General features: G+C 45.6%; 1 protein-coding gene and 1 pseudogene across 2 annotated transcripts in view; both read right to left on the minus strand.

Annotated features, from left to right (window-relative positions):
* The window catches only part of TESK2 (testis associated actin remodelling kinase 2), a 147,281-nt gene that overhangs the window by 1,877 nt on the left and 132,157 nt on the right, over positions 1 to 13,247 (minus strand). For both annotated transcript variants that reach the window (NM_001320800.2, NM_007170.3), the window contains 6 exons: positions 9,544 to 9,690; positions 2,159 to 2,241; positions 1,850 to 1,934; positions 1,220 to 1,303; positions 934 to 1,020; positions 118 to 235 (listed from right to left, as the gene is read on the minus strand). In NM_001320800.2, coding sequence (NP_001307729.1) covers positions 118 to 235; positions 934 to 1,020; positions 1,220 to 1,303; positions 1,850 to 1,934; positions 2,159 to 2,241; positions 9,544 to 9,690 — 604 coding nt within the window. The remainder of the gene's footprint in view (positions 1 to 117; positions 236 to 933; positions 1,021 to 1,219; positions 1,304 to 1,849; positions 1,935 to 2,158; positions 2,242 to 9,543; positions 9,691 to 13,247) is intronic.
* LOC124904849 (uncharacterized) lies at positions 12,893 to 12,989 on the minus strand (annotated as a pseudogene).

The following is a 13,247-nucleotide window of genomic DNA, read 5'->3' on the forward strand; positions in this document are numbered from 1 at the left end:
CCCTCCCATTTGTTTCTGGACCTGGGATCCTGGCAATCACAACCCTAAGAGGAGAAGGCCCCACATCCGAATTTCCTCCCTTAGGGTTAGGTTGGGCTCCCTGGTCTAATCTCTTACCCCTGGCTGTGGGCTGCAGCTTCCTATCCCTCTCCTGCTCTTCTTCCTGTAGGCGGCTCAGAATTTCCTCCAGGGTCTTCCCAATCTCCACAAAAGATGGGCGCAGTTTGGGATCCATCTGTAGGTATCCACAACAGCCATGAGCTCTGCCCTCCATCTCCCACCCCAAAGATGGCATTTGAGTCTATTTCTGGCATCTTTGAAGATTCAGATGTGCAGCTGAGAGACCTTTTCTAAAGGCCCCAGACAATGAAGGTGATCCCTACAGTTCAGGTCAGGGAAAACACTACTGTCTACTACCCTCCCTGTCTTAGTGTTTGTCTTATCACCTTGTCACAGAACCTTCCAAAAGTATGCTCATATTAGTTTATTCTGTTCTTGAGTTCTGCTCCTAATGTGTTTCTGGGAGGTATCTGAACAAAGCCCACCTACCCCTTGATCCTAACAGGTAAGGTCCAGCCCCAGAGCTACATACATGAAGGCCAAGAAGAGCCTTTCTCATATGCCTCAGGACCAGTTGGATCCACAGTCCAACAATAAAACCGGACCAGAGTTCCATCAACACCTAACGCAAGGAGTGATGGGTCTACCCTACAGGTTGAGGACCAGATAATACAAAACAACTTCTTTCTTTCCTTTGTCCAGAGCTCTGAATAGGTTAGCTGCCAGAGGGAGGAGGAGGAGGTGTGGTTGCTGTCACTACAGTGAAAATGAGGTCCCTCATGAAGCTAATTAGCAGCCTCTCTGTACAGTCCTAACCAGGTGAAAAGGGTTCAGCCAGCCCCTGATGAAAGGCAGAGGGAGAAAGACACTCACGTTACAGCAGTTGAAAGTAAGTTGCAGAAAATCTGGGGGACAGTCTCCCACCATGTGCTGGAAAGCATCATAGTCCAGCCCGAAATTCTGTGGATGGGTATGGAAAGCATAGGTAGACAGTTCATTAATCCCCCCACCCATCCTAGCCTGCTCAGTAGAAGTGGTTGGGAGCTGCCCCTGACAACCAGCAACAGAGAGTTCCAGCAAGTCCATCCCAGGGACAGAACAGTTCCATTGCTTCAAACTAGCCCCATCAGTGGCAATGATCCCCATGCTTGCAGCTCACCTCTGTGCGGGGAAGATAGTCCGGATCGGCCTGGATGCGGGCGATGATCTCGCAGAGGATGATACCATAAGAGAACACATCTGCCTGGTGGGTAGTCGGACTTTGGTTTCCCTCTTAATGGGTTGAGGGGTAGGGTATCTGCCCCTGCCCCTGCCTCCCCTGCACCCCACCATCTAACAGCCCAGGCCTGGGCCATATTGCCCATACTTCATCCCAGTCAGTCACTGGGCAGCTGCCAGGTACCACCACTGCTCTTGGTAGGAACATCTTGGACACTCTGCTAAGAGTGGATTCTAGGGAGAATCAGCCGAGCGCGATGGCTCATGCCTGTAATCCCAGCACTTCAAGAGGCCGAGGTGGGCAGATCACTTCAGGTCAGGAGTCTGAGACCAGCCTGGCCAATATGGTGAAACCCTGTCTCTACTAAAAATAAAAAAATTAGCTGGGCGTGGTGGTGCATGCCTGTAATTCCAGCTACTTGGGAAGCTGAGGCAGGAGAATAGCTTGAACTCGGGAGGCAGTAAGCCGAGATCGTGCCACTGCATTCCAGCCTGAGCAACATAGTGAGACCATCTCAAAAAAAAGAAAAAGAAAAAAGGAGAATCAGGCCTTGAGATCCTCCAAACTTACCTTTTCATTATAGGGCTCATCTCGGAGAACCTCAGGTGCCATCCAGAATGGGGAACCCACCACGGCCAGCTTCTCACTCCCCATGCTGTGGGGTGAGATTATACAGAAAATGAGCTTGCCAATGGCTGGTGCAATGGAATCTTTTGACCATTCCTCCACCTCAAGGATGGGTACAGACGAGGACTAAACAAATTTAGGGAGCTGAGGTTGAGCTGTGACCAAGTCCTGGCCTCTGGGGAGGAGGCTAGAATTTTCCCTTAGCTTCAGCCCCCTGTCCCTTGGACCCCAGCATCCAGTAGGGCTACACACCTGACATCGGGGATCTTCTCAGCCAGGCCAAAGTCAGCTACCACTGCAGAGTAACCATTCTCATCCCTCTTTATCAGGCAGTTCTAGGGTTCCCAGGAAGGAAGAGAAAATAATGTGGCTCAGAAGCGGGGATCAGCCATAGAGTTACCACCCATTCCCCCCTTCCTATCACAGGGCACCTTGTCCTCTGCTCCTTGGTGAACCGCACTCAAGCTGACCCCACTGGTCAGGTCAGGGGCTCTAAGACAGCCAGGTGAGATGAGTTAGTCCTGGGTCTTGGGTGGCTGTCCTAGGATACACTTCACATTCCAAACACAATTACTCATCTTTGCTTTCTAAGTGCTAGGCATAATTTTAAGTGCTAGAAATAGCTAGATGAAAACAACCAAAACCCTTGTCCTCTTGGAGCTTGCAATATAGGGGAGAACAACAGACTATCAGGCCCCTGGCCTCCCTTCCTCCTTCCTCAGAAACACAGACCCAAAGCCCAGGCCTGACCTTGCCAACTTGATATAAGCACAAGACAAGTGTCTAAGCCTTCACTAACCTTCACTGTCCACAAGATCACAACCAACCTCTTCTCTGGCATTAAAAGTCTATGATCTGGCTTTATCCAACTGGCCTAGCCGCTGTCCCCCTGTTCCTGGTGCCCCTATGCACATATCCTCATCCAAACTTGTCACAGACAAGCTTGACTTACCAAACCTGAACAGGTCCTTCAAGCCTTTGCCTTTGCTTACATTGTTCCCTTTCATTTGAAATATTCTCCCAATTATCCTTTTCACCTAAGAAAATTTTGTATTTTAAGGCAAGCTACCTTTTTAGCCATGACCTCATCTTTCTCCCTCTCATCTCAACTCTTAGCTCCTCCTCTATGCCACTCCTCTTACAGTCTAGCAGAAAAGCTATGAACCCCTCAGGAGCAAGTTCTGGTTTGCCTTCCTTCCTCACAGCTTTCAATTCATGAGACAGGCTGAGAACATGCTCACTGAAAAAATGCTGTCTTCAGGTCAACCCAAGTGACCTGTAAATAAACAAAAAGCGGCAACCAGCTCTCCCCAAATAGCTGCTTTCAAAATAGCCCTACACTGCTCTGGCTCAAGAGGCACCTCACCCCACCCGCTTCCTTCAGAATAGCAGAGAGCAGGGATCCTTGGCTCACAGAAACACTTCTGGAGCCAGCAAGGCCCCATCTGACCCAAACCAGCCCTCCCTCTTCCTTGCCAGCCTTGGTATCTAGTTGCTAAGACATGCCAAGTCACCTCCTGCTTACTCCTGTCAGGTACAAATCAATCCCTTACTCTGGCCTTGACATGATTACACTATTTCCCTTCCCCAAGCTGGAAGGAGCCGTGATTTCATCACTTCTACCCTGGATCACAGGTAGACATGCCTCATCTCTGGCTTCCAGGAAGGACAGTTCTTGTGCTTGTCCTGGCTTTGGCTCTCTAATCAGTCCTGCTGGCTCAGCACTCGCAGCTCCCTGACTTTGACTGTCTGTGAGAAGATGGGCCCTAGGCCAGCCTGCCTATTAGCCAAAGCCCCAGCTATAGGGCACCAGCCTGTGAGGCAGTGGCAGCTCAGATATGTCACCTATGTCTCTTCCCTCCTAGAAGACTTTTGAGTGAGGTAGCCCTGCCTACACTAAGCAGTAAGAGAGGACCAGTCAGATTTCCCTGAGGCAAGAGGTGACCTTTTCAGTTTCAGAAAACAGCCCAGGCACTGTTGCTGCCTGGTTCCCATTCTTCATTTCCTCACACCTATTATATCACACTGCAACAGTGACTTACATGTTTGCCTCTTCACTGGCAAGGAATGATTTCATTTGCCTCTGTATCTGTAACCTAGCACAGGTACCCAGAAGGAGCTTGGCAAAAGTGTGTTAAATGAAAGTTTAGTCTGATGACTGAAGCAACTGGGCTTCTTTTAAAAGCATGTGTCAAGCTGGGTGTGATGGCTCATGCCTGTAATTCCAGCACTTTGGAAGGCCAAGGCACGTGGATCACCTGAGGTCAGGAGTTCGAGACCAGCTTGGCCAACATGGTGAAACCCTGTCTCTACTAAAAATACAAAAATTAGCCAGGTGCAGTGGCAGGCACCTGTAATCCCAGCTACTCAGGAGGCTGAGGCAGGAGAATCACTTGAATCCGGGAGGCAGAGGTTGCAGTGAGCCAAGATCACACCACTGCACTCCAGCCTGGGTGACAGTGAGACTCTGTCTCAAAAATTAAAATTAAAAAAAGCGTGTGTCAAACGTATACAATAATCATACATTCCACTCTCCATAGTGAGGACTGAGCTGACAAGAGACTCAAAAGGGTGGCCATGGATGCATTTCCTGGAAACCTACACAAATTCTTCAGAACTGGGCCAGATCAGACACCTGAAAGTGCCTGAGGTGTCCTGGAACAGCTGCACAGTCAGTATTAACACTGAATAAAGCCACCTGAGTGAAGAAATGCCAAGTCTATTAACTCATGTTCACTCTAAAGCTGTTTCTGCAACAAAAACAACAAAACACTTTCTATGTGGCTTCACCTCTTTCCCCTCACCCGCAACAAACTGACTCCCTAAACCCAGTTAGGATCAGGCAGGAAAAGACTAAGATTCTACTGAAAGACTGAACAGTTAAGAGGTTCTTTTCATAGCACAGGGAGATCAGTGACCGAACTGCCGGACTCCTAAATGCCTCAGGGACTGTTATATTTCAAGTCTCTTAGAGGATTATCTGTTTTGGTGTGATGTGTCCCATCCCTTGCCCTCAATCCTACCATGTGATCTCATACCTTTACCATAGCTCTTGTGTAATGGCCTGCTGACTTAAATATCTCCACAACTAGAGTAGAGCCCATGGAAGGTAGAGATTGGATTCCCCAATATTGTGCCCTCTAATAGCACAGCATAAATAGTTCCCAGAAGCTGCTGATGGTTTTAATTATAAAAATTAACTTTAGGGTACACTAACAGTCATTCTCTACATCCCTCCAGCATTCAACGTTGTTCCTAATTCATGTTCTCTTCACTCTGAAAATTGGCATTTTCTATTCCTCATTGTGTGGCATAGCCTAAGACCATAACTGAATAGGCTTTTCATTCCAGTGAAATCACCTAAGTGGCTTCTATGCAGTCAACAATAACAACAGAAAAGAACTAAGAACTAAAGGTGCAATTCATAATTCATACTCATTCCCAACAGTAATCACAGAAGATCAGTTGGGCAGTAATGGTATTAAGCAGAAGCAAACTACTTTCTCAGCTGCCCCCAAGAGCCAAGGCTCGGGTATGTGTGTACTGGTTACTTCTAGAGCTACTGATAAAAGCCTGTGTGTGGCTATTGGCACTTCTTCATAGTGCTCACAAACTGAATATTTTTAAAGCCACACTGCCTCCCACTTCCTTCCAAGTAAGTTCTTGGCCTTGCCACTGCAAAAGTCTGTTTCAGGCTGTTTCTTAGAAGTAATTACAAAATTAGACTGAATGGCTATATCTGACAGACATTTTACTCTTAGAGCATTATTGCAGTAGCTGCGGACATGAGTCCTATAAAGGTAATACTACTTTCAGGAGGCACGTTGATAGGAAACTAGGGATCTTTTTGCTTCTAACCACAGGCTTAGGATCATTTGGAAAAAGGCATCTTCTTCTCTCTGTCCTGGTTTACCCACTTGGAACATGTTACCTCTACTTTAAATCCCTCTTGTTAGCTCTGGTCTGAGCAGTGTGGACTGATCGCTCCTGCAAAGTCAAGGACAGCATCTGTTTTACAGACTGGGAGCACGGAGGTTCCAAGGTCACTGAAGTCGTTCAGAGATGGGGACAAAACTGGGCCTGGAACCCAGAATCTCAGCTCTGGAGCAGGCGTTTTGGCCTCTTTGCTATCAAGCCCTTCGCCCTTCCCTGAAATAGGCCCAGGAAGACTTTATACTCTCATAGGCTCTGTGCTAGGTGGTAAGAAAACAAAAGTAAATAAGAGAAGCACTTGAGAAACTCATGCTGGTGGGAGATACAGACACAACAGAACAATCAAGTGATATGGAGTGTATAATATTAAAATATAAGAAAGCCTGATACTGTCCTTAAAGAAATAAGACACAGACCCAAGATGGACTATGAAGAGATAATTTGGAAACCTCCGAGCCCTCTACTGTCCCTTTAGCTTTATTTCTCAGAGATGATAAAAGGGCAATGAACACAGACGGTATCTCAAATTGGACAGTCTGGTTCATAAGACTCACTTGTTTGTCTTCAACTTGAGATCCCCTATAGTGTACTTCCCAGCCTTCCTCTAGAGTTTGCAAACGTCCTTTGTTCTCACCACCTGGAATTATCCTCAAAACCTCCTTAAAGTCCGGACCCAAGAAAGTACAGCCCAGAAATATAGGGAGTTATTTCTCCTATGTTCCTAGTTTCTTGTCTCAAGTCAGTTGACACTGGGAATACCCATTCCCCATAAGGAAAAGCAAAGGGTAGTGGTCTTATCCTATAGTCCAAAAAGGTTATTTTTATAATACAGCACAACAAGCCCAGACAGAACCACACTTGGACACTAGCACAATGGGACAAAGTGCTTTTGGGGCACAGAAGGGAATATGATGAACTCTTAGGGAGTGGGGGCTTTCCTCGAGGAAGCCTAGCTACCCTGGCCTAGAGTGATCTTTCCTGCTCAGAAAACTTGTCGTCTATGTAGCTAAACAATTATAAAATGCTGTGCACTACTTTTTAGTTATTTGCCAACAAAACTGTACATACCTCTAGGTCAGAAGTTCCTCTTTTCTAATATTCCTTCATCCTTGGAGCCAGGTATAGGAGACACTTGTGTGTGTGTGTGTGTGGGGGGAGTATCTGTGTAACTGATACATATTTTGTCACAAACTCCTTCTATCTTAGAAAAAATGGCGCTTTCTGAGTAGGAAGCAAAGATTTGATATCTGAGTTGATTCAGTCCCATCCATTTGCCTGGAACAAATGCAATTTTCTTTTTTTTTTTCTTTTTTTTTTCCAAGACGGAGTCTCGCTCAGTCGCCAGGCTAGAGTGCAGTGGCACGATCTCGGCTCACCACAGCCACCATCTCCTGGGTTCAAGCGATTCTCCCATCTCAGCCTCCCGAGTAGCTGGGATTACAGGCACCTGCCATCATGCCCGGCTAATTTTTGTATTTTAGTAGAGGAAGGGTTTCACCATGTTGGTCAGGCTGGTCTTGAACTCCTGACCTCAGGTGATCTGCCCGCCTCGGCCTCCCAAAGTGCTGGGATTACAGGTGTGAGCCACCATGCCCGGCCTGCACTTTTCTTAGTCTTGGTTTTCCAAAACATTCTGGGGGAGAAGAAATGGCTAATAAAGAGATAAGATATCACCTTCCAGGTCCCAACTGCCTAACTGTCCAGTTCTTACAGACAGTAATGTAGATAAAGGGCTCCTTACAACTAGGCCTCTGCTGGTTCCCAGTTTCTACTTGCCAGTCTTGTGCTCCTTCAGGAACAGTGCAGCTGACTACAAATGACTCTGCCACACACCAAAACCATTCTATGTGAGGCATCCAGGTACTTACTGCTTTAGGCTTTATTGACTCAGTACTGCTGCTTTTGTTCCCTTTCAAGCTTTTTCTTAAGATGGGCTCCCTTCCCCTCCCCTTCATCTGGGGCAGAAGGAGTAGGAGTATGTGCATGCATATGTGAATATGTGTACATGTAGGTATTGAGGGTGGGGAATGAAGTGACAGCTATTCTTAGGCAGGTACAAAACTCTTATACACCTCCCTAGCAGACTTTAATTCAGTTCTTGGGCAGCAGTCATATTAGATATGTTAGATTGCCTTATAGTTCCCCCATTAATAATCAAACGGTACTATTTATATAAGCCTTGTCATGATGGTATCTTAGGCCATTTGGCTATGAGGTGTCTGTTTTGTGGCATGGCCAACTTCCTCTGAAAGCGACTCTTTTCTAACCTGGTCACACAGCAATTTGGACAGCAAGAGAGTGCTACAGAGATCAGCTGATGCCAAAGAGGAACTGGCAGGGCAGCAGAAACTCAATCACACAGGCAGAAAATGGGTCAGTACATATGGCCCTAAAAACCTGCATTCAAGTGACTAAAAATCACTGAACTCCTGCTCTTAGCTAAGAACTACATCCTGGGGCCACAGGAAAGAAAACTGATAGGCCCCTATACTGCCTTGACTGCTGTCATTCCTATAAGGCAAGAATTTCTTAACCCTTCTCATGTCATTTGCTCCTGTAACACATATTCAGGAGATTGAAGTTAAACATGAAGGCTCTCAAGATGTATGAGTTGGCTGGGCACAGTGCATGCCTGTAATCCCAGCACCTTAGGAGGCTGAGGTGGGTGACTGCTTGAGCTCACAAGTTTGAGACCAGTCTGGGTAACATGGCAAGACCCCATCTCTGTTAAAAATACAAAAGAAAGGCTGGGTATGGTGGCTCATGCCTGTAATCCCAACACTTTGGGAGGCCAAGGCACGTGGATCACCTGAGGTCAGGAGTTTGAGACCAGCCTGCCAACATGGTGAAACCCCATCTCTACTAAAAATACAAAAAATTAGCGAGGGGTGATGGCAGGCGTCTGTAATCCCAGCTACTCAGGAGGCTGAGGCAGGATAATTGCTTGAACCCAGGAGGTGGAGGTTGCAGTGAGCCAAGATCACTCCATTGAACTCCAGCCTGGGCAATAAGAGTGGAAAAAAACAAAACAAGACCAAAATACAGCCAGGCATGGTGGTGTACGCCTGTGGTCCCAGCTATTCGGGAGGCTGAGGTAGGAGGATTGCTTGAGCCGATGGAGTGGAGGCTGCAGTGAGCCGAGACCATGCCACTGTACTCCAGCCTGAGTGACAAGGTGAGACCGTCTCAAAAAAAAAAAAAAAAAAAAAAAAAAAAAATATATATATATATATATATATATATATATATATGTTGGCTCACTCAGCACTGAAAGGAACCTGCTATAAGAAAATATAGGCTTATGGTGGGGCACAGTGACTCACGCCTGTAATCCCAGCACTTTGGGAGGCCAAGGCGGGTGGATTGTTTGCAGCCAGGAGTTCAAGACCAGCCTGGCCAATATGGCAAAATTCTGCCTCTACTAAAAATTAGCTGAGTGTGGTAATATACACTTCTAGTCCCAGCTACTCAGGAGACTGAGGCACGAGAGTCGTTGAACCCAGGAGGCAGAAGCACTCCAGCCTGGGCAACAGAGTGAGACACTGCCTCAAAAACAGAAGGAAAAGATGTAGGCTTTCTAAGGACTAACTATAAAATATAATGAATTATGTCCTCTGTGATTAAATGTTAAATCTAACACAGCTTTCTTGGCAAAAGAGAAGGGTGGTATCTCTCAATGAGTTGTGAGAGTAAAGCCTTCATACCTTAGATGTGAGGTCCCGATGAAAAATGCCTTTGAAGTGAAGGTAGCTGAGGCCCACTGCTATGTCATAGGCCAGTTTTACCCTCACAGTCCAAGGCAAATGCAGGTTACTGTCTAGCAACTGTTCCAGGTTCCCGGAGTTGATATACTGCAAAACAGAAGGAAAACCCAGCTACCATTTATCAGAAATATTTAGGCTAGTGGTGAAACCATTAGAGAGTAAACACCTGGAAGAGAGAGACTGTATTTTTTTTTTAAGTTACTGAGGGCTTATTCTGCCTCCAAGCACTATGGTAGGTGCTGCACACAATGACACTTTCCTTTAAGGAGATCACAATCTATTAAGGGACATAGTCAAACAATATCATATAATAAATATTAAAATATAGTTATGTGCAGGTAGGACAACACCATGCAGCAACAAGGATAAAGCTAAACTGTGGAGGCATGTCAGAGGAAATGCAGAGAGGAAATAAGGAGTCAGAAAGGATGACCTGGAGTAGCAGGAAAGTAGCACGAAAGACACAGAGGGAGCAGCATATGCAAAGTTACAGGTTAAGTGCATGATGCATTCAGGAACTTAATTTACTTCGATATGGCCAGAGTGCATTTATAGATGAGTCAGGAAGTGAGGCTGACATGTTTTGCTAAGATATGTGAACTTTATCCTGTCTATAGGAAACAAAAGAAGCATTTTAAGCAGGAGAGCCACATGGTTATATTTGCTTTTTAAAGAAAATATTATTTTAGCCATGGTATGATAGATGGATTAGAGTGAAAAATACAGAGAAAGGGAAATAGGAGATTACTGCAATAATCCTGGTGAGAGCAGGGCATCTGAATCATGGCAATAGTGGAGGCATTGGAACAAGGCAAGATTCAAAATGTATTTAGATGGCAGAATTAAAAAAAAAAAACTTGATAATTGCCTGGATTAGAGAATGAGAGCAATAGGCTATTGGTCCCTGGATGTCATTTTTAAATACCCAGAGAGCAAGGAGAGGAGTAGGTTTTTAGAAGAAGAGGCAATGTTAAAAGAGAGTGAGTTCAGGCCAGGTGTGGTGACTCATGCCTGTAATCCTAGAACTTTGAGAGGTAGAGGATCGCTTGAGCTCAGGAGTTCAGACCGGCCTGAACAGCATAGTGAGAGACTTAGTCTCTACAAAAATAAACAGAATTAGCTGGACGTGATGGTGCACACATGTAGTCCTAGCTACATGGGAAGATCGCCTGAGCCTGGGAGGTTGAGGCTGCAGTGAGCTAAGATCATGCCAATGCACTCCAGCCTGGGTGATAGACAGAGCGAGACCCTGTCTTAAAAAAAAAAAAAAAAAAGATAGTGAGTTCAGCTGGGAGAAGTTAAATTATTAAAGGTACAGGTGCTTATTGGACAACCAAGGTGGAAATGATCTAAATAGAGTCAGTTTGAAGCTTAAGAACAAAGTCTAAGTGAAAGACAATATTTAGGAGGCAAAAACATTGAGCTGAAGCAGTCATGCATTCCAAGGTCATGCATGCCCAGGGTTTAACATGTAAGATGGGAAATCAACAGAATCCCAAGGAACAGGCAAGAATGTCAATAGGAGAACATTCTAAATGTTCAGAAGGACGGCCGGGCGCAATGGCTCATGCCTGTAATCCTAGCACTTTGGGAGGCCGAGGCGGGTGGATCACCTGACATCAGGAGTTCAAGACCAGCCTGGCCAAGATGGTGAAACTCTGTCTCTGTTAAAAATACAAAAAAATTAGCTGAGCATGGTAGCAGGCGTCTGTAATCCCAGCTACTCAAGAGGCTAAGGCAGGAGAATCACTTGAACCCGGGAGGCAGAGGTAGTAGTGAGCTGAGATCGTGCCATTGCACTCCAGCCTGGGCAACAAGAGCTAAACTCCATCTCATAAATAAATAAATAAATAAATAAATAAATAAATAAATAAATAAATGTATGTATGTATGTATGTATGTTCAGAAGGACAATGACATTCTACATGTCAGAAGGAAAGCATTCTACAAAGGAAATGACTGACAGTATCAAAAGCCATGAATGAGGAAGACGAGCTTGAAAGGTATCCACTGAATTTGCAACCAGGAAATCATTGGCAACCTTGGACAGAGCAGTTTCAGTAAAGTGGTTAAGACGAGTAAGACTGAAGTGAACAGAGGAAAGAGTAGCAGATAAGGTTATGGAGAAACTATTTGAAGATAGTCTTGCTGTTCATCATTCCTAAATACCCATGAAGGGCAGCTTTGCTTTTTTAGTAAAAAAAAAAAAAAAGAAAAAAAAGTGAATAAGGCTGGGCACGGTAGGAGGCCAAGGTGGGAGGATCACTTGAGGTCAGGAGTTTGAGACCAGCCTGGGGAAAGTGGCAAAATCCCGTCCCTACAAAAAATACAAAAATTGGCCAGGCACGGTAGCTCCCAGGGGTGGGATCATAGTAGCTAACACCTGTAATCCCAGCACTTTGGGAGGCCAAGGCAGGTGGATTACCTGAGGTCGGGAGTTCGAGACCAGCCTGACCAACATGGAGAAACCCTGTCTCTACTAAAAATACAAAATTAGCCAGGCATGGTGGCGCATGCGTGTAATCCCAGTACTCGAGAGGATGAGGCAGGAGAATCGCTTGAACACGGGAGATGGAGGTTGCAGTAAGCCGAGATTGCACCATTGTACTCCAGCCTGGGCAAGTGACGGAGTGAAACTCCGTCTAAAAAAAAAAAAAAAAAAAAAAAAAGCCTGGGCACAATGGCTCACACCTGTAATCCCAGCACTTTGGGAGGCCAAGGTGGGCAGATCACGAGGTCAGGAGATCGAGACCGTCCTAGCTAACATGCTGAATCCCCGTCTCTACTAAAAATACAAAAAATTAGCCGGGCGTGGTTGCAGGCGCCTGTAGTCCCAGCTACTCGGGAAGTTGAGGCAGGAGAATGGCATGAACCCAGGAGGCGGAGCTTGCAGTGAGCCGAGACTGTACCACTGCACTCCAGCCTGGGCAACAGAGCGAGACTCCATCTCAAAAAAAAAAAAAAATTAGCTGGGTGTGGTGGTGTGTGCCTATAGTCACAGCTACTCACAGGTTGAGGTTGGGATGATCACTTGAACCTCAGGAGGTCAAGGCTGTAGTGAGCCATGATTGTGCCACTAGATTCCAGCCTAGGCAACAGAGAGAGACCCAGTCTCAAAAAAAAGTGAGTAAGTATATGTATTTATAAATAATAATAGCAGCTGTTATTTATATAGTATCTAAATTGTTTCAGGCACTGTTCTGAGAGTTTTGCATATATTATCTCATTTAATCTGCACAATAACCCTATAAGGTAGGTACACTGGTACTTTTTTTCCTTTTTTTTTTCATGTCAGACAACGTGCAGACATTAATAAGGTTTGAGGGTAGTACACCTCACACATGCACATGAAAATCCAATCATCGTGCTATGGACTACAAAATGACTACATACTATTACTCATTTTAGAGAAGGCATTTAGAAATTAAGCAACTTGCTTAAAGTTATCCAGTTATTAAGTGGCAGAGACTGGCAGACTCTGCAGTCTGGCTCCAGAGTCCATACTCTTTACCACTACGTTGCACTGGAGACTTAGAGACCACAGCATCTGAGTAAGAGAGCCTCATGCAGCACAGGAGCTCAAAAATGAATTTACTCAAACCTTATATGATGTATTATCTCCCTCCTCCTCCCAAGGGAGAAAA

The sequence above is a fragment of the Homo sapiens genome, chromosome 1 (genome assembly GCF_000001405.40).
Source record: "Homo sapiens chromosome 1, GRCh38.p14 Primary Assembly".
In the NCBI taxonomy this organism is placed as follows: domain Eukaryota; kingdom Metazoa; phylum Chordata; class Mammalia; order Primates; family Hominidae; genus Homo; species Homo sapiens.